At 42.5% G+C, this 27,802-nt stretch overlaps 1 protein-coding gene across 6 annotated transcripts in view; it reads right to left on the bottom strand.

Moving 5' to 3' along the window:
* Positions 1-27,802, bottom strand: part of NFX1 (nuclear transcription factor, X-box binding 1) — an 80,642-nt gene that overhangs the window by 35,939 nt on the left and 16,901 nt on the right. For all 6 annotated transcript variants that reach the window (NM_001318758.2, NM_002504.6, NM_147134.4 and 3 more), the window contains exons 6-11: positions 24,042-24,113; positions 21,426-21,565; positions 16,389-16,488; positions 16,092-16,309; positions 6,541-6,638; positions 2,717-2,747 (exon numbers count right to left, since the gene is read on the bottom strand). In NM_001318758.2, coding sequence (NP_001305687.1) covers positions 2,717-2,747; positions 6,541-6,638; positions 16,092-16,309; positions 16,389-16,488; positions 21,426-21,565; positions 24,042-24,113 — 659 coding nt within the window. The remainder of the gene's footprint in view (positions 1-2,716; positions 2,748-6,540; positions 6,639-16,091; positions 16,310-16,388; positions 16,489-21,425; positions 21,566-24,041; positions 24,114-27,802) is intronic.

Genomic DNA, 27,802 nt, shown 5'->3' with positions numbered 1-27,802 from the left:
AGATAAAATAGAGAAGAAGAAAAAATGTAAGACAGAGAAAATATTTTGGAACTAGATTGTGAAAGAACTAAGTGCCACTGAACTGTACATTTAAAATGGTTAATTATGTTATGTGAATTTCAACTAAAAAAAAAGTGGGCTAACCACTGAAGTATTTATGGGTGAAATGATATTTGAGATTTGTTTTCAAAGTACTTCAGCATAAATAAAATGTAGGGAAGGAGGGATGGATGAAAACGAGAGGTAAAATGTTGACAACTGATGATGACAGGTCATAGGTACGTGGGGATTCATTATACCAGTTTCTCCACTTTCACGTATGGTTGAAATTTTGCATCATAAAGTTATAAAAAGTGGGACAGGACGGTTCCTGCTTATTAATAATGGGGAAAAACTGGAGACAACCTAAATGACCACCAAAAGGGTCATGGTGAACTATGACAAGGCAGATCCACATATGGAATACTCTGCAAGAACAAGAGTTATGCATACTGACATGGAAATACGTCTTTGAGATATTAGTGAGGGAAAATAAGCTGCAGACAGTATCTTTAGTATAAGCCTAAATCTAGGGAAAAACAAAACTATGCTGGCATGTTTATACATCTGTATGAATAGGGAAAAAGATCTGAAACCCTAACTAACAAACTACTATTAGAGGGCAAATTTTCATCTTTCACTTCATATTTTTTTTTAAACTTCATAAGTGTATTAATTTTGTATTTTTTCAAATTATGTTTTTATTATTTTGTTTTATTGTTTTAGAGATAGGGTCTCGCTCTGTCACCAGGATAGAGTGCAATGGCACAATCACAGCTCACTGCAACCTCAAACTCCTGGACTCAAGCAATCCTCTGCCTCAGCCTCCCGAGTATCTAGGACTATGGGCACATGCCACTATGCCTGGCTAACTTTAAAAATTCTTTTGCAAAGACAGTGCCTCACTATGTTGCCCAGGCTGGTCTTGAACTCCTGGCTTTAAGTGATCCCCCAGCCCTGGCCTCCCAAAGCATAAGGATTACAGATGTGAGCCACTGCATCTGGCCCAAATTATGTTTTTCTTGTTTCTTTTTTGATACGGAGTCTCACTCTGTCGCCCAGGCTGGAGAGCAATGGTGTGATCTCAGTTCACTGCAACCTCTGTCTCCTGAGTTCAAGTGATTCTCCTGCCTCAGCCTCCTGAGTAGCTGGGATTACAGGGGTGCGCCACTGTACTTGGCTAATTTTTGTATTTTTAGTAGAGATGGGGTTTCACCATGTTGGCTAGGCTGGCCTTGAACTCCTGACCTCAGGTGATCCGCCCACCTTGGCCTCCCAAAGTGCTGGGATTACAGGCATGAGCCACCAGGCTTGGACCCAAATTATGTTTTTAATAACCAAACTTTTTTTCCTTGATACAGATGGCACACTGAACCAAAAGTTTAAATACGGTTTTGAGGCAGATATTGCTGGGTACCTCCCAAACGGCCACTCTTCTCTTTCAGGCAAAGACAGCCTTAATTTTGTTCAGAAACTGGGAGCCAGTGTGCTCCTCAGTTCCAGGGGTGGATGTTGTGTACCTTTACCCACCATGGTAATTCCATTCACTTTGCTAGTTACAGGTTTAGGCAGAAGAATTGGACACAGTGTACTGAGAACCTTTCAGGACTGTTTTCCTTGCTCTTACATAGGAAGAGAACAACAACACTCTCTTCATGGATTTTGTTTAGATGTTGTTGGGCAGAGACCCAATGTGTGAAGCTGCAGCAGCTAACATACCCACGAGGAGAAAATCAAGAAAACCACAGAGAAGCCAAATTGAAGTCTTCAAAATCACTGAGCTAAAATTAACCAATCTCGGACTTGTTCTGCCTCCAGATATCCTATCAGGTGTGGCAGTAAACACCCTTATCGTAAAAGTCACTTTTTCTTGGGTTTTGTTACCTGCATCCAGAAGCTTCCTAACCAATACAGCTTTCTTTCTGACTACAGTAAGACCTTTTATTTTGCATATCCTTATCTTCCATCACTTTTCCAAAAAGGTTTTAAAATGGCTTCAACAACAGTATGTGTCGGTTATAAAAACAGGAATCGAGGCCGGTGTGGTGACTCATGCCTGTAATCCCAACACTTTGGGAGGCCGAGGCGGGTGGATCACTTGAGGTCAGGAGTTAGAGACCAGCCTGGCCAACACAGTGAAACCCCGTCTCTACCAAAAATACAAAAATCAGCCAGGTGTAGTGGTGGACACCTGTAATCCCAGCTACTTGGGAGGCTGAGGCAGGGGAATCACTTGAACCTGGGAGGTGGAGGTTGCAGTGAGCCGAGATCGCGCCACTGCACTCTGGCCTGCGAAACAGAGCGAGACTCCGTCTCAAAAGGAAAAAGAAAAAAAGTTCAAAGTATTTTACAGTGAACATCCATATGCCCATATCTAGATTCTACCATTAACATATTTTTTCATATACATATCCATTCTTCTACCTACCCACTAATTTTCTTTTTTAATGCATTTCAAAGCAAGCTGTAGACATGAGTGCACTTAGCTTATATTTTTCAGCATTTCATCAATTAGAATTCAATTTATATTTTTTTCCTTTTGAGGTGAAAGTTATACCACAAATCTTAAGTATGCCTTCACTGAATTTTGACAAATACATAACCCAACTCCCTAACAAGATTCAGAGTGACGACACTTTCACCCCAGAAATTCCCTCATGCCCCACCCCAGTCATACCTTCACTTTTGAGACTGGTACATGGAAGCTCCTATGGAAAAAGAAAAAGAAATGGTAACTACTTTAGGAATAACTAAAATAATACAACTATAATATAATGCCATAGGTAACAAGAATATCCCAAATATCCCATACTTCTCTGATAGTCACTTATTCACCAACTTCACTTGCCATGTCTGGAGCGAGCCTAATCCCTATATGAATGAGCTTTACTCACAAGAGGACTCCAGGCTTACAGACTTTTCATGAAAATACAATTCTAACAATTTTTGTGGTCTGGTCTCCAAATTCACAGTAGACTAATAATTACAAAATCTAAATAGAAAGAGGGCTGCTAAAGGCATGCAAAGGAAAGAGAAGTCATCACCAAACAAGGGTACAGACAGAAAAAGCCATAAAAAGCAGATATAAGAATTGAAAACAGATGACAATCTGTACCATTTAATGCAGGGACAAACGGCTCTACACACTTCAGAGCACACCTGATAATATCACAAAACTACAGCAAAGTGAAATAAAGCAGGATCTTTGGTTTGGCCTCTAAAGTTTGGTTTCCACTACATGTGAGTGGTCTAAAAGGTCTATCACGTAATTTTGCTAAGGCATGATCCTAAAAATCGTGTGTAGTGATGATGGTGTGTGGGAAGGAAGTCAGTCACTTGGGGTAGAATGAGTCTGGCTAGCTGCCCGGCTTCTACATCTGATTTTGGCTTTGATGTCATTTACAGGTTGCCATGTACTCAGAAATGAGAAAAATGACTTTAAAAGTCCCCTCTTCGTAAAAATTATCCTGAAAAAAAAAAAAAAAGCAGCTACTGAAGTTGATAACAGATGTGAAGAAGTCTAAGCAATAAAAGGTTCTTGGCTGGAAAATATACATTTCAGATAAAAAATGAGGTGTCTGGGATTGATGATATGAAAAAGTTCCCTATATGCTCTCTACAGATATAAAGCAAAAGTGACTCATGAAACTGAGTTAATGCTCCCATCAGTGAACACTGGATTATATGGAAGAAATGATATGCAGGAGTGGTTATCTACAATTGTCAGGAAAGGCAGAACTCCCATAAATTCCTGCACATGAATTACCATAAAGACTTAAATATAGCATGCTTTATGAAGACATAGACACAGCATACATTTATCAGAATCCCACCAAAGTGATGAAATGAAAACAACCTTTGAAGTTTTAAGAAATGTTTTATTTATCTAGAAAACTCACTTCTGTGGAAAAGCCCATTCCATTACCAAAACCATGTCATGAAAAATCCATATTCATGAAAAATCTAGTTAAACAATGAGGTGATAATTATCAGCTTATTTTTTTTATTTTTTTTTTGAGACAGTCTTGCTCTGTTGCCCTGGCTGGAGCGCAGTGGTGCAATCTCGGTTCACTGCAAGCTCCACTTCCTGGGTTCACACCATTCTCCTGCCTCAGCCTCCCGAGTAGCTGGGACTACAGGCGCCCACCACCGTGCCTGGCTAATTTTTTGTATTTTTAGTAGAGACGGGGTTTCACCATGGTCTCAATCTCCTGACCTCATGATCCGCCCACCTCAGCCTCCCAAAGTGCTGGGATTACAGGCGTGAGCCACCACACCCAGCCAATTATCAGCTTTTTGAAGAGTTTTTTTTTTACTTTGTCAAACAGGTTTAACAGAGTTTGTATTGACAGTGAGCTCCTCCTGCAATTTAAGGACTTCTACTTGCAAAAATTCAACTTACACATAGCTTTTCAAGAATACACTCACTGCCATGGAGTCCACTATTAGAGGGAGTGAGGACAAAGAGTCAATGAGAAGCAAGAAAACGTAGAGATAGAAAGAGGGATTGTGGGAGAATGAAGAAAACTGACAGCAGCCACTTCCAGCTTACATGTCCCAACCCTGCTTACAATTTTCAGTCACACAGATCACAAAGAGCATCTCTGGGCATTACTAAATTTATGATTGCCAAATCACAGCATCTCAGTCTTTAATACAGTATTTACAAAGTACAAAAGTGGTCCCATACCTGACATTCAAAAATGCCTCTGTTATCCTATGTATATTGTAATTTCTTTCAGGAAAAAACCCATATATGATTACACAACTTTTGTAACATGTAAATTATACTACTTTTCCCTTTTTTCTGAAGTTTTCCTATTAAACTAGCTTCCCATTTATGGACTATATCCTCAGAATTATTCGCAAGTCAGATGCTGCCAGACCCTGCATTGTGTTTAACAGAACCAACGGTTCACAATTCTGTCTCCACCCTGGCTTGTACTCTACTGGGACAAATGTTGATATACACTAAAATGACTAAGTAGGTCAAAGAGCAGGATAAATCAACACTCAGTGTGTTCCCCAAGCTGAATCACCCGAAGACTTTTTATAACATAAAGTCTGATGAAAACTATCCAAGGTAGGCTGGGCACAGTGGCTCACGTCTGTAATCCCAGCATTTTGGGAGGCTGAGGCGGGTAGATTACCTGAGGTCAGGAGTTCAAGACCAGCCTGGCCAACATGGTGAAACCCCACCTCTACTAAAAATACAAAAATTAGCCAGGAGTGGTGGTGCACACCTGTAATCCCAGCACTTTGGGAGGCTGAGGCAGGAGGATCACTTGAGGTCAGGAGTTTGAGACCAGCCTGGCCAACATGGCAAAATCCCGTCTCTACTAAAAATACAAAAATTAGCCGGGTGTGATGGCATGCACCTGTAATTCCAGCTACTCCAGAGGCTAAGGCATAAGAATCACTTGAATCTGGGAGGTGGAGGCTGCAGTGAGCCAAGACTGCGCCTCTGCACTCCATCCTGGGTGATGGAGTGAGACTCTGTCTCAAAATAAATAAATAAAATTAAAAAAAAAAAAAGAAAAATAAAAACCATCCAGGCTTTCACCAGAAAGTAGAAACTGACAAAACAGATGTACAGTGAAGAATTAAACCTTACTTAAAGAGAGTCTGGCCTTTGTGCTTGGCTTCTGAGAGGTAATCTCTAAGCCTAGTGGAATGCCATGCCTGATATAAGTGTCATTGTTTGCCTGGAGTCTTGAGTCACTGGATAGTCCAATTACGTGATTTAGGAGCAGGCTGGCCACACTGGATAGTTTTAGGGCAGGGGTTTTGGGTCACATGGTATCGGTACACCTCGGGAGAGACTGGAGACTGAGATTAGCCACATGGGCAGTCAACTATGATTGCACAATAGAGCACCAATAAAAACTGAACACACAGGTCTGGGTGAACTTTCCTGGTTGGCAATATTCCATGTATGCTGGCACACACTGAAGCGGAGAGAGTAATACTTTCCTGACTCCACAGGGAAAGGACAAATGAAGTTCCACCTTTGGTATTTTTTTGGACTCTGTCCTACATACTTCTTCCCTTGGCTGATTTAATCTGTATCCTTTTCCTTGTAATAAAACTGTAACCTCCTTGTAGTAAAGCTCTAACCATGAGTGTAACCACCAGCAAGTTCGGTGAGTCCTTTTATCAAATTATCAAGCCTCGCAGGTGGTCTTAGGGACCACTGAACTTTCAATTGGTATCAAAAGTTGGTGCCACAAGTGGGTGGTCATATGGACTGTGTTTCCTCTAACTTCTTAGTTGGCTGACTCCTTGCAACAGTGCTACTGTTCCCCTTTTCAGACTATCACACCTGTATTTGGTAGAGTGATCTGTATATTTGCCTTATCCCACTATAGGCCTCTGGACCTTGAGTGCCACAACCACTTCCCATACCTAATCTACTGAGGTTATTTTGATTCCTCCCCTCCCATAATCACCATTTTAAAGAAAACATTGATGGCAACAACTCTAGCATTGTTTAGGATTTACCTTTGTTCTGAAAGAGCATCTGCAGGAAATAACTGATGTGCGAGAGCATGGTCCACAGTCTCCTTCATGGCAGAGCTTTTCACAGGTATGAATGAAATCTTTAATAAAAACGAAAAGAGCTGGAAATGAAAACTGCAACTACTCATTTTCATACTCCCAAATTTGCTAGCCACACTGGTCTTCCCCTCCATGCCCTGCAACTCCAGAATCAGAGTTGAGGGAAGTATGCAGTCAATGCTTCTTCCCTATCTTCCCTTCATCTGGCAGACTGGGCCTTTTCTGACAACTTCAGGGCCCAGCTTAGACACTGGAATATGCTTTAAAGTATACGACGATTTGCCTAAGTCAAAAAAAGGCCAAGTGTGGTGGCTCATGCCTATAATTCCAGCACTTTGAGAGGCTGAGGTGGGAGGATCGCTTGACCCCAGGAGCTCGAGATCACCTGGGAACATGGTGAAACCCTGTGTCTACCAAAAAAAAAAAAAGCACAAAAACAAGAAATTAGCCAGGAGTGGTGATGCAGGCCTACAGTCCCAGCTACTCAGGAGTCTGAGGTGGGAAAATCTCCTGAGCATGGGACGTTGAGGCTACAGTGAACTGTGATCGCACCACTGAACTCCAGTCTAGGTGACAGAGCAAGACCCTGTTTCAAAACAAATAACAAAAACACAGAATAAATCTTCTTTTTCCTCAGGCCCCACATCTCCAGTGTAGACTTGAATCTCCCTAAAACTGTAGCCATGGATGACTTTAGTGGAATGCTGTCGACTCTGAAAGTCATCTGGGGATTATAAATAATCAGAAGCCATGATCCACAGTCTGACTGACTAGAGCTCTGTGAATGTCTGGTGGTGCCTGCATCCATGCTGCTAAACTAGGTTTAGGACAAGTCCTGTTTCCAGGACCCTATGGGGATCACCTGGGGTCTCTTATGGCTACTGTTTACATGGTGTACTTTTTCTATTCTTTAACTTTCAGCCTCATTGTATCTTTGACTATAAAGATTGTCTCCATGGCCTGGTGCGGTGGCTCACGCCTGTAATCCCAGCACTTTGGGAGACCGAGGTGGGCAGATCATGAGGTCAGGAGTTTGAGACCAGCCTGACCAACATGGTGAAACCCTGTCTCTACTAAAAATACAAAAAAATTAGCCAGGCGTGGTGGCGCCCACCTGTAATCCCAGCGACTCAGGAGGCTGAGGCAGGAGAATCGCTTGAACCTGGGAGGCGGAGGTTGCAGTGAGCCAAGATCATGCCACTGCACTCCAGCCTGGGCAACAGAGCAAGACTCCATCTCAAGAGAGCATATAGTTGGATCTTGTTTTTTAAATCCAGTCTAAAAAATTTCTGCTTTTGGCTGGGTGCAGTGGCTCATGCCTGTAATCCCAGCACTTTGAGAAGCCAAGGTGGGAGGACTGCTTGAGCCTAGGAGTTCGGGATCAGCCCAGGAAATAGAGTGAGATTCCACCTCTATAAAAAATAAATAAATCAAAACTCAAAAATATCTGCTTTTGCTCAATCCATTCACATTTAATGTTACTGTTATAGCTGGATTTATGTTCGTCTTTTTTAGTTTTCTGTAAGTCTCATGTCTTTTTTGTTATTCTAATACTCCTTTCCTATTTTCATTTGCATTTTGTCAATATTTTTTATAGTGTAATTCCCTTAATTATATTTTTCACTAAATGTTTTGAGTTATTTTCTTAATGGTCCCTCTAGGGCTTACCATATACATCTTATCAGAATCTACTTCAGATTTATACTAACTCCAGTAAGATACAGAAGGTTTACCCTTACACAGCTCTATTCTTCTCCCCTTTTGTGCAGTTATTGTTATACATATCACATCTATATGTTATAAACCCAATACTACTTTGTTAGAACTTTATATAATGTTATATCTATTAAAGAAGCTGAAAAAGATAACAAATATATATATTTATAGCTTTATTAATTTTTGGAGACAGGGTCCCACTCTTGTCACTCAGGCTGGAATGCAGTGGCATGATCATAGCTGACTGCAGTCTTGAACTCTTGGCCTCAAGTGATCCCCCACTTTAGCCTCTTGAGTAGGTGGGACTACAGGCACATACCACCATGTCTGGGTAATTTTACAAATTTCTTTGAGGGATTAAATCTCACTACGTTGCCCAGGCTGGCCTTGAACTCCTAGCCTCAAGTGATCCTTCCACCTCAGCCTCCTGAGTAGCTGGGATTACAGGTGAGAGCTACAGTGCCCAGCTTTTTTTTTTTTTTTTTTTTTTTTAAAGACAGAGGCTTGCTCTGTTGCCCAGGCTGAAGTGCAGTGGCATGATCTTGGCTCACTGCAGCCTCTGCCTCCTGAATTCAAACAATTTTTGTGCCTCAGCCTCCTGAGTAGCTGGGATCACAGGCATATGCCACCACACCACACTAATTTTTGTATTTTTAGTAGAAACGGAGTTTCACCATGTTGGTCAGGCTGGTCTCAAACTCCTGACATCAAGTGATCTGCCCACCTTGGCCTCCCAAAGAGCTGGGATTACAGGTGTGAGTCACTGCGCCTAGCCCCCCTCTTATACAAAATTTACCACTTATGGCTTCCCTCATTTGTTCCTGTAGGTTTGAGTTGTGATCTGGTATCATTTTCTTATTCTAACACAACTTTGATCCCATCTATCTCCTTTATGCTATAATTATCAAATATACTTCTACAGGTTATAGGCCTAAAATATAATTTTATACATATTATTTTATACAGTTGTTTTTTAAATCAGTTGAGAAGAAGAAATATGCATTTATACTGCCTTTTATGATTACATAATCATCTTTACTAGTGCTCTTTGTCTTTTCATGTGGATTTGAAATTCTATTTGGGTTTACTTGCTTATAGCCTGAAGAATTTCTTTTAGTACTTACTGTAAGGCAAGTCTGCCTGCTAGCAATAAATTTTGTTTTTATCTTCATTTTCTAAAGTTAGTTTCATGAGATGTAAGATTCTTGGTTGACAGTTTTCTTTTTTTCTTTTTCTTTTTTTGAGACAGAGTCTCTCTCTGTTGCCCAGGCTGGAGTGCAGTGGCGCAATCTCGGCTCACTGCAAGCTACGCCTCCCGGGTTCATGCCATTCTCCTGCCTCAGCATCCCGAGTAGCTGGGACTACAGGTGCCCGCCACCATGCCCGGCTAATTTTTTGTATTTTTTAGTAGAGACAGGGTTTCACCGTGTTAGCCAGGATGGTCTCAATATCCTGACCTCGTGATCCACCCGCCTCGGCCTCTCAAAGTGCTGGGATTACAGGCGTGAGCCACCGCGCCCGGCCAGTTGCCAGTTTTCTTTCAGCACTTTGAATATGTCATCCTACTGCCTTCTGGTTGTGATGTGTTCTCCATTGTTTCTGATGAGAAGTCCACTGTTAAGCTTACAGAGGTTCCCTTGTATGTGATAAGTCATTTTTCTCTTGCTGCTTTCAAGACTTTCTCCTTATCATTAACTTTTAGCATTTTTATTATATGTCTAGATGTGGATCTCTTTCCTACCTGGAGTTTACTGAGTTTCCTGGATGTGTAGTGTTTTTCAATACATTTGAAAGTTTTTATCTATTATTTCATTAAATATTTTTCCACTTCTTTCTACTCTCCTCCTCATATTCCAATTACATGTACACTGATACAGTTAAAGGTGTCCCACATTTCTGAGGCTTTGTTCATTTCTCTTCATTATATTTTCTCTCTGTCCGTTGGGTTATATAATCTCTTTCTTTTTTTTTTTTTTTGAGATGGAATCTCACTCTGTTGCCCAGGCTGGAGTGCAGTGGCACAATCTCAGCTCACTGCAACCTCCGCCTCCCAGGTTCACACCATTCTCCTGCCTCAGCCTCCCGAGTAGCTGGGACTACAGGTGCCCGCCACCACACCTGGCTAATTTTTTTTTTGTATATAGTAGAGACGGGGTTTCACCATGTTAGCCAGGATGGTCTCGATCTCCTGACCTCGTGATTCGCCTGCCTCAGCCTCCCAAAATGCTGGGATTACAGGCATGAGCCACTGTGCCTGACCAAATCTCTTTCAATCTATTTTCATGTTCACTGATCGTTTCTTCTGCCAGCTCAAATCTACTATTGAGCCCCTTTAATGAAGTTTTCTTCTTCCTTTGAGAAAGGGTCTTGCTTTCTTGCCCACCTGAAGCGCAGTGGCATGATCATGGCTTGCTGCAACCTCAACCTCTTGGACTCAAGCAATCTTCCCACCTCAGCCTCCTGAGTAGCTGGGATCACAGGTGTGTGCCACCATGCCCAGCTAAATTTAATTATTATTATTTTTTTTGAGATGGAGTCTTACTCCCTCGTCCAGGCTGGAGTACAGTGGTGCGATCTCGGCTCACTGCAACCTCCGCCTACTGGGTTCAAGCGATTCTCCTGCCTTAGCCTTCCAAATAGCCAGGATTACAGGCGTGTGCCGCCACACCCAGCTAATTTTTATATTTTTAGTAGAGACGAGATTTCACCATGTTGGCCAGGCTGATCTCAAACTCCTGATCCCAAGTGATCTGCCTGCCTCAGCCTCCCAAAGTGCTGGGATTACAGGCATGAGCCACTGTGCCTGGCCTAAGTTTTTAAAATTTTTTGTAGAGATAGGGTCTCACTACGTGCTCAGGCTGGTCTTGAACTCCTGGGCTTAAGCAATTCTCCTGCCTCCATCTCTCAAAGCACTGAGATTCAGGCATAAGCCACGGTACCCAGCCTAATGAATTTTGCATTTCGGTTATCCTACTTTTAAACTTCAGAATTTCCATTTGGGCCTCTTTTAAAACTAGTTTCTATCTCTTTATCAATATTCTCTATTTGATAAGACATCATCTTCACATCTTTCTTTACCTCTTTAAGTATGGTTTCCCTTCAATTCTTTGAAGATATTTATTTATTTGTTTTTTTTTGTTTGTTTTTTTTTTTGAGATGAAGTCTTGCTCTGTTGCCCAGGCTGTAGTGCAGTGGCGCAATCGCGGCTCACTGCAACCTCTGCCTCCTGGGTTCAAGGGATTCTCCTGCCTCAGCCGCCGGAGCAGCTGGGACCACAGGCGCATACCAACATGCCCAGCTAATTTTTGTATTTTTAGTAGAGATGGGGTTTCACCATGTCGGCCAGGCTGGTCTTGAACTCCTGACCTCGTGATCCTCCTGCCTCAGCCTCCCAAAGTGCTGGGATTACAGGCGTGAGCCACCATGCCTGGCCCAGTTCTTTGAACATATTTATTATGATTATCCTACAGTCTTTGTGAAATCTGACATCTGGTCACTCTCACAAGGCAGTTTCTGTTGCCTGTTTTTTTCCCTGTTTCTTTGCACATTTCATACTTTTTCTTGGAAACTAGACATTTTAGCTATATAGCAACTCTGGATACTGCTTCCCCTCTCCACAGCTTGTTTTTGTTGTGGTTGCTTATTTATTTGTTTTGTGACTTGGCTAGACTATTTCAGTGAAGTCTATTTTCCCTACAGTATGTAGCCGCTGGTGTCACTCTTTGGATGGCACAACCTTAGGGGTACAAACTGACCCTGGAATGACAGTCGTTTCAAGCAGGGCTCTCTTTGTCTTGATTCCCGATCTCTCTGTTAAACTGTGTGCCTTATTTGGATTACGCTCAGTCTCAAGGATCCATTAATTGCAGTTCTATTGTTTTTGACAATGTTCCAGGGCATCAATTGCTCAGCAGTCTGATCCAATTAAATTTGGGAAGGAATAGTCTTTGCTGTAAGTCTTTGAGATTTGTTCTGACCTGAAGAGGGCTCCTCTTAGCTACCTTTCCCTGATTCTCTCTGATGAACTAGATGGCCTACAGTTTAGTTACTGTTCTTTAAGGTATGTTATCATTTTCTAAAGTGTCCTTAGGCCTGTACTTCCCCACACTGTTTCAAATAAAGTCAGTTCCTTTGGAGAGTACCTCGGAGCTCTCTTTTGTTATGAACTGTCTCTCGCCCTGGGAAAGGTCTCTGAGGCACTACTCTGGGTGCTGGGTGGGATAGTAGCCTCTTGCCTTCTTGGCTTGCTTCTCTCAGTGGAACCTCTGCCCTACGAGTGAGCTGGGGTGAGGACGATTAGGGCTCCAGTATTCTGCTGCAAATGGGATGAAGCCTCCATTCTGTAAGTGGGAGCTTGGTGGAGAAAGGGAGCCCTAACTGCTCAGCTGCACTCACCAGAATTTCAGCCTCTTCAACTTGGAGTTGGAGGGGTAGAGAAATGTTGACAATGTGGCCTTCCCAGTGAGATATGGTAAACCTGACTGGGAGCTGAGGGGAGAAGAAGCCCCATCTTCTTGTCCACACTTATCCTGAGTGGAGATCTGTCAAGCTGAGCTGAGGGGAGGAGGAAGGAACTAGCTAGGGCTCAATGCCACAGACTCTTGCTGTTGTTTACCAGAGTTTTAGAAGATTTTGTTGAATAAATATGTCTTCATTTGAGGTATGCTCTTAGGGCAATTTCTAGAGACTTTTTTTTTTTTTTTTCGAGATGGAGTCTCACTCTGTCACCTAGGCTGGAGTGCAGTGGCATGATCTGAGTTCACTGCAACTACTGCCCCCCAGGTTCAAGCAATTCCCCTGCCTCAGCCTCCCGAGTAGCTGGGATTGCAGGCATGTGCCACCATGCCTGGCTAATTTTTGTATTTTTAGTAGAGACGGGGTTTCATCATGTTGGCCAGGCTAGTCCTGAACTCCTGACCTCAAGTGATCTGCCCACCTCAGCATCCCAAAGTGTGGGGGATTACAGATGTGAACCACTGCACCCAGCCTCCAGAAACTTTAAATGGTTGATTTTTTTTTTTTTTTTTGAGACAGGGTCTCACTCTGTCAGCCTAGCTGGAGTGCAGTGCTGCATTCATGGCTCACTGCAGCCTCAACATCCCAGGGTCAAATGATCCTTTTGCCTCAGCCTCCCAAGTAGCTGGGACCACAGGCACGTGCCGCCATACCCAGGTAAATAAAAAATGTTTTTTGGTACATACAGGGTCTTGCCATGTTGCCCAGGCTGGTCTCAAAGTCCTGGACTCAAGCAGTTCTCCCACCTTGGCCTCCCAAAGTGCTGAGATTATAGGTATGAGCCACCATGCCCAGCCTTGATGGTTGCTTTTTTATAGTTTTCCCTAGCTTTGTTTGCTTTACTGGGAAGCAGATCTATGGGAGCTCTTCATGCTACCATCTTTAAAGTAGAACTCTATCCAGTCTCTTATACTGAAGCTGTGTCTCTGGGATGGAAATTTCCTACTGAGTGAGATACAAAAGACCTAAGCGAGCTTTCTATAGATAAGCTAGGTCTGAACAAACCTGACAGTCATTGTTATCGCTAGCCACACGCTTGTCTCTGAGCTTCTCAGTCAACTCAGCCTATTTCCTTAAAGGTTTTCCATGATACCTGCTGAGGTATAGCAGGTACCCTCTTATCCCTTAACCTGGTCTTGTCCCATCCCAAGGTCTGTTACTGCCAGTTACTACCCTTCTCTTGCTCAAGTCCCTTTGCATTACCCATTTCACATTTCCTTCTTCTCTCATCACCAACAGGATACATGAGTGCCAGGGTAGGATTTCTGGTCATTATATGTGAAATTCTTATAAAACTGACTCATGTGCTTTCCGAAAGGGGATTTGATTTACTAGTCATTTGATCTCCATATCATAAACACATTTTCATGGCAAGCAGAGAACCAACAGATGACTGGCTTTCCTAATGCAGCTGGAATGTATATTAAAATACAAGAAGACAGCACTTCTCCTCTATACACAATTTTAAGGTCAGATTGAGAAAAAGGATTAAGTAGGGTGTTCCCACTGATTCACGCTGGCACTTGAAAGAAATGTGAACTCTCTCCTTTTGATGAAATGGAAACCAAACCTAAAGATTCTAGCTTTACCTCACAAGATACATGGTTAGTTTTAGAAATAATTTTCCTATTCAATCTCAGTTGCCTACTTTCCATTTTTTTCTAAATGCATGGCCTTTCAACACCCACTCAGGAGAGAAGTTGCCAAGTCATTGCAAAACTGCAGACATACATTCCCAAAAGACTGAGTCAGATAGGCTCAGTATAGTATTACTTTGTATCTAATTCCAATGAGCTTTTTCTGGTTTCTATATTCAAGTAATCAGAAGCCACAAATCAGAAGAAAGGGGGAATTACTAAAAGTAGACAGGCAAGCATACTAAAAGCACTGATAAGAATATAAACAACAAAAAGCTTCAACAAGCAGATACAACAATTCAAACTGCTCATTGGTATGGGGCATCAGTCTGAGAAACCTCAGCAGGCCAAGGGCACCACTGCATTCAGTGTAATACAGTAACTGGAGTTCATAAAAATGATGACTCTGGGTCAATGAGAGAAAAATTACAACACCTTCAGTAAACTCTGTTTAAACATGAAATGTAAATTTTAGAAAAATATTCATCCAGCCGGGCATGGTGGCTCACACCTATAATCCCAGCACTTTGGGAGGCCAAGGCGGGCAGATCACCCAAGGTCAGGAGTTCAAGACCAGCTTGGCCAACATGGTGAAACCCCGTCTCTACAAAAATACAAAAAAAAATTAGCTGGGCATGATTGCAGGTGCCTGTAATCCCAGCTACTCGGGAGGCCAAGGCAGGAGAATTGCTTGAACCCAGGAGGTAGAGGTTGCAGTGAGCCAAAATCACGCCACTGCACTCTAGCCTGGGCAACAGAGCGAGACTCTGTCTCAAAAAAAAAAAAAAGAAAAGAAAAGAAAAGAAAAATATTCATCCAAAATGATGTTCAATAGGTGCTATCCTCGTATCCTCAGCTAGATGGGAAACTTAGCTACAGAGGCTGACATTCCTTGAATGATCTAAATGGCTGAGGTTCTATTGTACTTACAATTTTAGTTCTTTGGCCAGGTACAGTGGCTTACACCTGTAATCCCAGCACTTTGGGAACCCAAGGCGGGTGGATCACTTGGTGCCAGGAGTTCGAGACCAGCCTGGTCAACATGGTGAAACCCCGTCTCTATTAAAAATACAAAAATTAGCCGGGCGTGGTGGTGTGCGCCTGTAGTCCCAGCTACTTGGGAGGCTGAGACACAAGAATCATTTGAGCCCAGGAGTCAGAGGCTGCAGTGAGCTGAGATCCTACCACTGCACTCGAGCTGGGGCGACAGAGCGAGACTCTGTCTCCAAACCAGACTCTGTCTCACCCACAATTATTTTAGCATGTTCCTATTATGTGAAAAGGGTTTTCAACACTTGCTGAACCCTGGATTGGTATAAATACATATAGTGTTCATTACAGTACAGGCTCCTAAGAGAAATCATAACCCCTATGGAACAGTAACTCACCACAGTTGTCCAGAGTTAACAATAAAATACCTGAATCAGAGAGATCATTTGGGCAAATGTATGGGTTTTCACAAGTATATGTTGAGGAGGAAAGAAAACGTACCTACATAAATATGATCATAATATTTAGAAACCTCTGATATTGTAACTAGCACTTACTTCTACATTGCTTAAACACTCACTGCTGCCAACCATTTACAATAATATTTTTAAAGCCAACTTTACGCTTACTAGTTACCTAAGGAACCACAAGGCAGAGGCTTGCCGCACACTTTTCCACATGAAGGCACAGGGTCCATGCATGTTTTCCGACTACTACTTCCAAGTTCTAGCAATTGGCTGAGAGGAGTTTGGCCACAGGGGCAACAGCGCACCAGCTGGGGGAGCCGTGGGCATTGCTGGCAGGGCTGAGGGTGGCACACTTGCGAACATGTATGGTTACCGCATTTCAAGTCCCTGTTAAGAAAACACACTATTACATAATTGTTGCATAAAGTGCAGCTTTAGTTCAACTGAAGAAAACGTAAAACCTTACTTGCCACATATCTTTAAACAGCTGAAATCCCCAAATCCATCAGACTTTCCTACATCGGTTCCACATAACACATCTCGGGAGGTGCTGCCGCAATAGCATACTTGAAGAGAAAATTTCAAAAACAAAACGTTAGTAACATGTATGGGTTCTTAAAATGTCACAAATAATCTATAAGAAAATACAAAATGCGGGCCTGGCACAGTCGCTCATGCCTGTAATCTGGGAGGCCAAATAGAGTACTGATCAGACCTATGCAGAAATGAGTATAGTTCATACAGCAGCTCTAAGACCCGCCTAAGAGCTTTACCATAGGAAGAAATTAAAAAAGCCTTGTTAAACTATTAATATCTCATAGTGCCTCTGCAGCACATTCCAAGAACAGCATCAGAGTGAAGCAACCTCTAAATTAAGAGAACACTATCTGGTCCATAAGGCCGTGGCTGAACACCATTCACTGTGAGGCTCCTGCGGGTCCTCTGGTGATGTTACAGGAGATAGACAAGCTAAGCTGGTAGTAGTGGTGGAGGAGTTGACATCTGGATTTCCCATCCTCACTTCAACCCAAGAAGCACAGGTTTCATACTTTATGTCAGGTTTTACATAAAACACTTGTAAAAAGGTCCCCGTTGCCAAAAAGAAATTTAAAAATTGGCATGAGAGTATAAGATCTAATGATCAGAATAAATGCAGTATTATAAAAACATCACATTTTTAAAATCACATATACAATAAAAATAAAATAGAAACCTTCTAATAAGGTATTAAAAATAATACTCATAAAATAAAATCGTACATTAAACAGAACCAAAAGGTTTCACTATAATGAAGATTTTTTTTTTTTTTTTTTTTTTTTTTTTGAGACAGAGTCTCACTCTTGCCCAGGCTGGAGTGCAATGGCATGATCTTGGCTCACTGCAACCTCCACCTCCCCGGTTCATGCAATTCTCTTGCCTCAGCCTCCCAAGTAGCTGGGATTATAGGGGCCCGCCACCACGCCCAGCTAATTTCTGTATTTTTAGGAGAGATGGAGTTTCACCACGTTGGCCAGGCTGGTCTTGAACTCCTGAGCTCAGGTGATCCACCTGCCTCAGCTTCCCAAAGGGCTGGGACTACAGGCGTGAGCCACCACGCCCGGCCATAATTAAGACTCTAGATTTTTTTTTTTTTAAAGACAGGATCTCACTTTGTTGCCCAGCTGGAGTACAGTGGTGTGAACACAGCTTACTGCGGCCTCGACCTCCCAAAGTGCTGGGATTACAGGTGTGAGCCACTGTGCCTGCCTTGATTTTTTTTTTTTAATTAGCTGAATTTAAGATTCAAGGACTCTTTATTTTTAAAATACACATTTCATCTTCCAGTAAGTGCATGTGCAATTTCTTTTCTTTTCTTTCTTTCTTTTTTTTTTTTTTTTGGAGACAGGGCCTCACTTTGTCACCCAGGCTGGAGTGCAGTCATGTGAACACAGCTCACTGCAGCCTCAAACTCCCGGGCTCAAGCAATGTTCTCACTTCAGCCCCTCAAGTAGCTGGGAGTACAGGTGCGTGCCACTACACCTGGCTAGCTTTTGTATTTTTTGTAGAGATGGGGTTTTGCCATGTTGCCCAAGCTGGTCTCAAACTCCTGGGCTCAAGTGATCAGCCCATCCTGGCCTCCTAAAGTGCTGGGATTACAGGTGTGAGCCACTACACCCGGCCTATATGCAATTTTTTCCCCCGTTCTAAAACTCATTTGTTCATTTAATAAAGACTGATTTGATAAATTAATAAAGATTCAGAAAACACAATAAATATTTGTAGAATCAATGAACTGGTAAAGAAACCCTGGAAACTGGAAGCTTTTGCTAGTAGGCTTTTCTTTGCTAAGTTTCTGCTCAAACAGAACAAAGGCTTTTTACAGAGGTAATGAATAGAAAGCTGTGAGCAAAAGAATCAAGGGTCAGAACAGGTAACAATAAAAAAATTGAGTTCCTGATGAAAAAATCTGAGTAAATACTAAAAAGCTCTCCTAGGCACGAGAGACAGAAATATGAGCAGGTGACAGAAGAATTAGGTAGAGTCACAGCTGGTTAAATAATATTAAGGAACCAAAGGACCCTGTTGCCAGCCTTAACCCATTTAGTATTTTATCAACATATGAATAAAGACCCAAAAAGAATGCTTATTAATCTCTAGATAAGGCTGAAAGGGATCCTAGAAGATTATAATTCAAGAAGATAAACTATTTACATGGCCAAAATATTCTGCTAGATAACTAATGTGGAAAAACAAAAAGTCTTCAAAACTGGGTTTGAAAAATCAACTAAACAGAAACAAGGAGGAAGAGACTGGGATCCACAGAAATTTGTACAAAAAAGACTTGGGTGATTTAGCTGAGTAAAAGCCCAATATGAATCAAGAGCTAAAAACAGCTGAAGCCAGGCATGGTGGTGTGCATCTGTAGTGCCAGCTACTTGGGAGGCTGAGGCAGGAGAATCTGCACTCTGGCCTGGATGACAGAACGAGATCCAAAAAAAAAAAAAAGGCTTGGTAAGTACCAGGATAGAGAGCTTTTCTGCACTTCCTGTTAATTACAGATCCATATGACATAATGGATAATCAAACTGGGCACAGGCAACTCTTCATTCTCTTGAAGAGACTATTAAAAACAGGGGCTGGAACATATTATCCCATTTTCAGCCTGGGATAAAACTGGAGGGAGCACCCACAGGCAGGGTCAGGATTCACAATAGGTGATGGAAGCCTTGAAGTTCTATTCCACAGAGAACAGACCAGAAATTTTAGTCTGGAAAATAATCAGGACACATTTAATCAGTCCTCCGTCTCAGTGAAAAATCTCAAGAATGTACTCAAAGAACACCGAGTTTCGAACAATACTGGTTTTCGTGGATCCCACAAAAAGACTGGCATTGTTGTGAACAATCTGGCCACTTTTTTTTTTTTGAGACAGAGGTGGGTACTGTCACCTAGGCTGGAGTGCGGTAGCATGATCTCAGCTCACTGCAACCTCCGCCTCCTGGGCTCAAGCCATCCTTCCACCTCAGCCTCCCAAGTAGCTAGGACTACAGATACATGCCACCATGTCTGGCTAATTTTTTTTTTTTGTTGTTGTTAGAGACTGGTTTTCGCCATGTTGCCCAGGCTGGTCTCAAACTCCTAGGCTCAAGTGATCCACCTGCCCTGGCCTCCCAGAGTGCATGAGCTACCGTGCCCAGGCCAATCTAGCCACTTTTAAGAGGATGTGTGGTCTCTGAGCATGTTTCACAGGGAAGAAATGAAGCAATCACAGCTGTTAGGCCTGAAAGGAAACGCTGGGGAAAGAATATATGACAGCTGATTTTGAACAACCCAGGAGGAACATAAAATGTAGAGAAAGGCAGACGAAGGAGAGAGTATATTTCAGGGAAGCAGATTTTGGCTCAATAAAAGAAAAAACTGGGACGATTAGAGTTGTATCATGACTAAACAGCCTACCTAAAAATACAGTGAGCTTTCAGGCTGTTTAATCAGCGACTGGGTAACTGACAATATTCACTCTGGAGAGCAAAAAGGGGATAATTGCATTGCACTAAGAGAAAATAAAACTAGATTCCTTTTTTTTTTTTTTTTGAGACAGAGTTCCGCTCTTGTTGCCCAGGCTGGAGTGCAATGGCACGATCTTAGCTCACTGCAACCTCCGCCTCCCAGGTTCAAGCGATTCTCCTGCCTCAGCCTCCAAGTACCTGGGATTACCGGCGCCCGCCAACACGCCCCAACTATAAAATTAGATTCTTCTGTTCCATTTCTAGATTGCAGTAATGGAGAGGAAGAGAAAAACTGAAAACATCAAAAACATAAACTTATATTCACAATTAAAAAATTTTTTTCTATTCATGTAGATACTTTCTACTTTTTTTCCCATTGATGTACAGCTAGCATATAATAAACACAAATATTTTACATATTCAGTTTTGATTGGTTTCGGATATCTTTTGGTAATTGTATACATCTGTGTGACCACCACCCAAAACAAGATATCAAACATTTCTATCAACCCAGAAAATTTGTGTCCCTTCCCCCAATTTCCACCACTAGGCAACCATTTTCTAATTTTTATTATGAAAAATTAGTTTTATATGTTCTTAGATTTCACATATGTTCATTTTATTATTATTATTTTAGACTGAGCCTCATTCTGTCATCCAGGCTAGAGTGCAGTGGCACCATCTCTGCTCACTGCAACCTCCGCCTCCCGGGTTCAAGTGATTCTCTTGATTCAGCCTCCCGAATAGCTGGGATTACAGGCGCCCACCACCACGCCCAGTTAATTTTTGTATTTTTAGTAGAGACAGGGTTTCACCATGCTGGCCAGGCTGGTCTCAATCTGCTGACCTCGAGTGATCCACCGGCCTCACCCTCTCAAAGTGCTGGGATTACAGGCATGAGCCACTATGCCCGGCCAGTTCATTTTTAAAAAGATTATTTTGGTCTTTCTAGGTCCATAATAATCTGGTCCTTTTCAAGCAGTTACTTTTAAACAGCATTTTAAAATCTACTATTTAAATTAGATAGGCCAGGCACTGTGGCTCACGCCTGTAATCCCAGCACTTTGGGAGGCCCAGGCAGGCATTATCACTTGAGGTCAGGAGTTCAAGACCAGCCTGGCCAACATTGTGAAACCCTATCTCTACTAAAAACACAAAAATTAGCAAGGCGTGATAGCAGGCACCTGTAATCCCAGCTACTCGGGAGGCTGAGACAGGAGAATTGCTTGAACTTGGGAGGTGGAGGTTGCAGTGAGCTAGGATCACGCCACTGCACTCCAGCCTGGGCGGCAGAGTGAGACTTATCTCAAAAAGAAAAAAAAAATTATATAGGACAATGACCTATACTGGTATGCAGGTAAAATAATAAAAACCGTCTAAGCATCGTATCTCCAGTTCTCTCTACTCAAGGTCTTTGTGACTAAAAGTCTGACACCAATCAAAGTTTATCAAGACAATCATTAATAAGGTTCCAGAAAAGAACACAAGCATTGCTAGCTGGTGTGCCCACCACTTACCCTGGTTCAAAATGATCTGGCAAGGCTGGCACTGACCCCCATGGCACAGCTCAGCACACTGGTGCTGACCACAGTTCAAAATATTCTCACATGGGTTAGAACAGTGGACTGAGACAGCCTGACCACAGCGAACTGTGTGCCTGTAAAGACAATAGATGTAAAGACAGCATCAGTGTAAAAGTTCCTGTTGGACAACCAAACTAACACTGCGGCCCCTAACTCTCCCCTCAAAACCCACTAAGCCTTTCTCTAACTTCATTTCCCTCACTTTTTCCTATGTCTCCCTCCTCCAATTCTTATTTTCTCAATTACTCTCCCTTTCTCCACTCTTTTTCTTCTTCTGTTTTTGTTTTTGTTTTTTTTTTTAAATAGAGACAGGGTCTCACTATATTGCCCAGACTAATCTTAAACTCCTAGGCTTAAGCGATCCTCCTGCCTCAGGCTCCCAAAGTGTTGGGATTACAGGCTTGAGCCACCACGCCCGGCCCACTCTTTCTTCTTTCTCCTCCTTTTTCTTTTTCTTTTCCATCCTGTCTTTCTTTCCTATTTTCTGAGTGGTGAGGAACTGAAGGCTATTCCTGAGTATTTGCTTTATGTGATTTCATCTCTGAGTTCCATGAAGCAGCATGCGTAAGGAGAAAGAATGCTGGGGTGAGGAGTTAGAAGATCTGGGTTCTGGTCCTAGCTCTGCCTGGAGCTTCCACAGTACTTTACAGACGGGAGGACAGCTATCATGTACCCAGATCTGACACACTCAGACTAACAGCACAATGGCATTATCCTGAGACCCAGCACTTAGAACATACTATATGTGACTTTGCTTCAGGGTAGGGAAATAAGCTAATTCTAGTTTTGTTCTAATAAACATCCTGATTTTGCTGAGAGAAGGATATAAGAAAGTCCTTTTTTGTTGTTGTTTATTTGAGACAGAGTCTTGCTCTGTTGCCCAGGCTGGAGTGCAGTGGAGCCATCTCGGCTCACTGCAACCTCCACCTCCTGGTTTCAAGCGATTCTCCTACCTCAACCTCCCCAGTAGCTGGGGCTACAGGCACGTGTCACCACACCCAGCCAATTTTTGTATTTTTAGTAGAGACGGGGTTTCACCATGTTGGCCCACCTGGTCTCGAACTCTTAACCTCAAGTGATCCACCCACCTCGGCCTCCCGAAATGCTGGGATTACAGGCGTGGGCCACTGCGCCCAGCCGCAAAAAGTACTTTTAGACAATTGTCTTCAAGTCTCTTTCTAGGGTAATGGTTAAGCACTTGGAGTCTACTCTCCTGCAAGAAGAGTTTTATTTCATCCCTGACTCTCATCTCAACTCCATATTTTGTTTTTAAAAGTCACTGTTATGTACATAAATGATCAGCTTGCAGTACTTGACATAATGGCTAACACTAGCCTATTATGCTGCCATTCTGCCTAGCACCATGGCTAACAGTAACCCCTTGAAGTAGACACTATTATTTCTACTTTATAAGAAAAATGAGGTTCAGTGAGACCAAGCAACTTGCCCAGAATCAACAACCAGTAAGTGACAGAACCAGGATCTGACCTTTCTGAGTCAAAACACTTACATGTAATCTCAGGCCACATGGCTGTCCACATAAGTTCAGTAAAGGCTAAACAAACGCACCTCACCGAAAATCTGCATGATTCATCTCATCCTGTGGTTCAAAAATCATTTTAAGATCTTACTGGGCCTCAGAGACACTCCACAGCTATCAGTAATCCTTGTACTAATGATGTAGGAGACCTTGTATTATAATGGAACAAGGGTGGGCTCTGGAGTCACCTATTCTTTCATTCAACAATATTCATTAAAAGACTCTTAGATGCCAGATACTGTGCTAGGCACAGGAAACTGGTCCCAGCCTCCTTAGGCCTGGGTTCAACTCCTGGTTCTGTCACCCACTTAGAGAGGTTAAAAAAAAAATCCTTGCCGACCGAGCGCGGTAGCTCATGCCTGTAATCCCAACACTTTGGGAGGCCGAGGCGGGTGGATCACGAAGTCAATAGTTCAAGACCAGCCTGGCCAAGATGGTGAAATCCCATCTCTACTAAAAATACAAAAACTAGCCAGGTGCGGTGGCAGGCGCCTGTAATCCCAGCTACTTGGGAGGCTGAGGCAGGAGAATTGCTTGAACCCAGGCAGCAGAGGTTGCAGTGAGCCGAGATCGCACCACTGCACTCCAGCATGGGTGACAGACCGAGACTCCGTCTCAAAAAAAAAAAAATCCTTGTCACTTTGGTATTTTACCCGAAATAATGGGTAGTCTCACAATCTCATTGTGCATATAACTTCTTAATCACTTATAAGATTACAAAATAGGGTCATGGGCAGCACAGGGAACTACTAGTTACAGAAAAGTACTATCCATGGCACATTTGGTCTCTCAAGTTGCCCACTTGGCTCTCTTCCAAGTTGTACTTTCCTTCTGTCCTTTCCTTCCTGTTCTAAAGCTTTTTAATAAACTTTCACTCCTGAAAAAAAAAAAGTACTATTCATGCCTACCATTTATTTGTATCTACCTACTATTCTTTTATTTCAGAAATTCACAAGTCAATCATGCATGTGAAAACTGAGGTCTTCTTTAGGGTGTAATTTTAACTTTACCTGGTTCGTCCACATTCACATGTTTTTGTCATAAAGGCAGGGCAGGGTGGGCAGGGTCCTGGATGGCAGAGACTGAAAGAGAAAGGTTTCACTGAATAAACCACAGCCATGTATCCAAACCCGAACAAAGCTGTCCCAGCTGGGTCTTATTGTGAATATGGCAACAAATACATCTACTATGACATGTCTTTGTATTTGTTTAAAGTTGATTAAACTATTTGAACAAAGATATCAACTGTACTTTTATGTGCAAAAAATCGACATCATTATCACCACAGACTATTTAACCACAGAAGTAAATCCCAAGTCAAAATACTGGTTATATTTGGGTCTGAGAGTCAAAGATGACATTTTCAAATACAGTCTTGGCCCACTTACAGCAGTGTGTGGGGATAAAAATAGTTTGCTACTCAGGTAAAAGGCAGAATGGCTAATAGGGTCCTGTAGAAGATCAGAGTCTAAGCAAAGTAATAGAACTCAAATCTACCTGGTCCGTAAGAAGTACAGACATACTATCAGCTAGTGAAGTAATAATCAGGCACTGGGCAAACAATGGAACAGTGAAAAGAAGGCTGACATGAGGGGAGGCATGCTAGTGAGTAACATGGAGAGAATGAAAGGGAAGGGGGTCATGGAAAGAACTGGGCTGAGTGATATGCTATAGGTCAGAATTAGCCCTCTGAAAAATGCTATTTTAGGAGCTATATTATAGAGACCAATAGAAAAAAGTTACAATACGGAATTTGTATATTCAAATATATACTGCCCTCTTCAAAGCAGACACTTTGGCAAATTACACAGTGGTACAGAAATACCACTACTTAAAACATTTTGGGAACTTCTACGACAACTGTTTTTGGAGTAGGAGGGGTATATTCTAGGTGGCAAATTACAACCCTTTGGGAATCAAAAGCCAATCAGAGCCAAGACTAATTAATCAGATGGGTAACAGAATTTGCTGTAAAACATTAGTGTGCTTATAAAGTGGTCTGGCTGGAATGTTTAGTTTCTATGAAACTCCTAAACAAGCTCTGATAATTCTTAAATAAAGTTTAAACATTGAAAACAATCCAGGAACAAGTGTCTAGTCTTCTAAGATGACTCATTTTGATAGACAATACCCATAGGAGACATAAGTTTAAGCATGTTTCTTTAAAGATGAGTATCATTATTCAACAGTTATATTTTATATATACCTCAATCCTTTCGGGTGAAACAATTTTCATTGCTTGTCAGGTGTGGGTGATTCTAGGTTATGTCAAATATCTCAGAAGCCTGGACTCAATCTCCTCAATCTCAGGTTTTCTTAACTTTTAGACCAGAGGTCCACAACACTGGCTATATATTGGAAGTGCCTGGAGAGCTTTTAAAAATATTGATGTTCACACCAGGCATGGTGGCTCATGCCTGTACTCTCAGCACTTTGGGAGGCTGAGGTGGGAGGATCGCTTGAGCCCAGGAGTTCAAGGGTGCAGTGAGCTACGATAGCACCACTGCACTCAAGCCTGGGCAACAGAGCGAGACCCTGTCTCTGTCACTTTTGAGTCCTAACAAGTGTAAATGAGAGAAAGCAAAGCTTTCTTGGAGACCAGAAAAGTGCTACTGGGGAATGGGCTTCTATGGTCCTGAAAGTAAAAGAAAGTTCCCAAGTCAAGTGTGAAAGCTCCAGAGCCACAAAAGAGCAGGAGCAGGTTTTAAGGTGTTCTTTTCTTTCAGACATGGTGCTGATCACTTGATCTGCAACAGTTTTAATCTCTGGTAGTCATGAAGGGTTTGGAAAAATAGTCCATGCAGAGGATTAAGTTTTTTTTTTTTTTCTCTGAGACGGAGTCTTGCTCTGTAGCCCAGGCTGGAGTGCAGTGGCATGATCTCGGCTCACTGCAACCTCCGCCTCCCGGGTTCACGCCATTCTCCTGCATCAGCCTCTCCAGTAGGTGGGACTACAGGTGCCCACCACCACACCCGGCTAATTTTTTATATTTTTAGTAGAGACAGGGTTGCACCGTCTTAGCCAGGATGGTCTCGATCTCCTGGCCTCGTGATCCACCCGCCTTGGCCTCCCAAAGTGCTGGGATTACAGGCATGAGCCACCGCGCCCAGCCAGGATTAACTTCTTATTACTGAATTTACTGAAAATGACAACTAATGGCAAGAATAGCTTAACTCCTTCCTAAGGAAGGACCTATGCGAGCAGTCAAAGGGAATGAGGTATCTGACTGCCCAGCAGATCACAGGCCATGCTGTCTAGCCCAGTTTAAAACAGCTCTACCCCCACTGACATTTCCCCAGCGCCACCACCATGCCTTGATCACAAGGCCCTGGTCCAATATTATCCCTCCTCCAAGCAGTAGAAATACCAAGATAACACTCTGATGTCTGGTTTACTCTTAGATTTGGGTAGTAAAAGTAAGAATTGTCATTTTTTGATCACTTGCCAGAAAGACTCTATATCGAGCCGCATAGATGCACTAATTCATTTAATTTTCATAGAACCCTATAAGTGTTATTATTACTATCATTATTATTTTACAGATGCAGGCTTAGATAAATTAATAACTTGTCCAAGGTTACATAACTATTTAAGTAACTTGAACCTAAGATTTAAACCTTTGTCTGAGGTTAAGGCCTGTAGAAATTTATTTGTAACTGATCAACTGTTTTTCTATTACTGTGCATTTTTTGGTATTTAGAAGCTGACTGCATACAGTCTACTTATTTATTTATTTATTATTTTTAGAGACATGGTCTTGCTTTGTTGCCCAGGCTGGAGTGCAATAGTGCAATCACAGCTCACTGCAGCCGTGAACTCCTGGACTCAAATGATCCTCCTTGCTCAGCCTCCCAAGTAGCTGGGACTACAGGTGTGTGCCACCACAGCTGGCTAATTTTAAATTTTTTTGTAGAGACGGGGTCTCATTTTGTTGCCTAGTCTGGTCTAGAACTCCTGGCCTCAAGCAATCCTCCTGCCTTGGCTTCCCAACGTGTTGGGATTATAGGCATGAGCCACCGTGTCTGGCTTATGGATATAATCTACAGCTGGCTATTTATTGTAGGGAAAAGACTGACATCCTATGGCTGGGTGTGGTGGCTCACACCAGTAATCCTGGCATGTTGGGAGGCTGAGGAGAGCAGATTGCTTGAGCCCAGGAGTTCGAGACCAACCTGGGCAACACGGCAAAACCCCATTTCTACCAAAACATACAAAAATTAGCCAGGCGTGGTGGCACACGCCTGTAGTCCCAGCTACTCAGGAGGATGAGGTGGGAGGATGGCTTGAGCACAAGAGGCGGCGGTTGCAGTGAGCTGTGATCACACCACCACACTCACACTCCAGCCTGGGTGACAAAGCGAGACCCTGTCTCAAAAAAAAAAAAAAAAAAAAAGAAAGAAAGAAAGAAAAAGATTGACATCTTGACATCTTGGAAATACTGTCCGACCGGGACCCTAAACAATTGTCTTTCCCCAGACAGAAGGTTCTCCCATACATTCTCTTGGACCTGGATATCAATGCGGGATAAAACATATGAGTCACATTTCTTCTTAGAAGCAAGCAGTGTAATGTAATGGAAGCAGCACTGGCTTTGGAAACCCTAGCTCCACCATCCACGCCCTGCCACTGTGATGCTGGGCAAGAGGCTTGGCCTTTCTGAGCCTCATCTGTAAAGCAGAGATGGTAAATATCTATTACTGGGCTGTGGTAAGGATTCAACAAGTTAACTGATGTAGAGTGCCTGGCACAGGGTGATTTGAGACCATTTACT

The sequence above is a fragment of the Homo sapiens genome, chromosome 9 (assembly GCF_000001405.40).
Source record: "Homo sapiens chromosome 9, GRCh38.p14 Primary Assembly".
In the NCBI taxonomy this organism is placed as follows: Eukaryota; Metazoa; Chordata; class Mammalia; order Primates; family Hominidae; genus Homo; species Homo sapiens.
The sequence above is the reverse complement of the archived record's forward strand: the minus strand, read 5'-3'. Positions and strand labels throughout refer to the sequence as shown.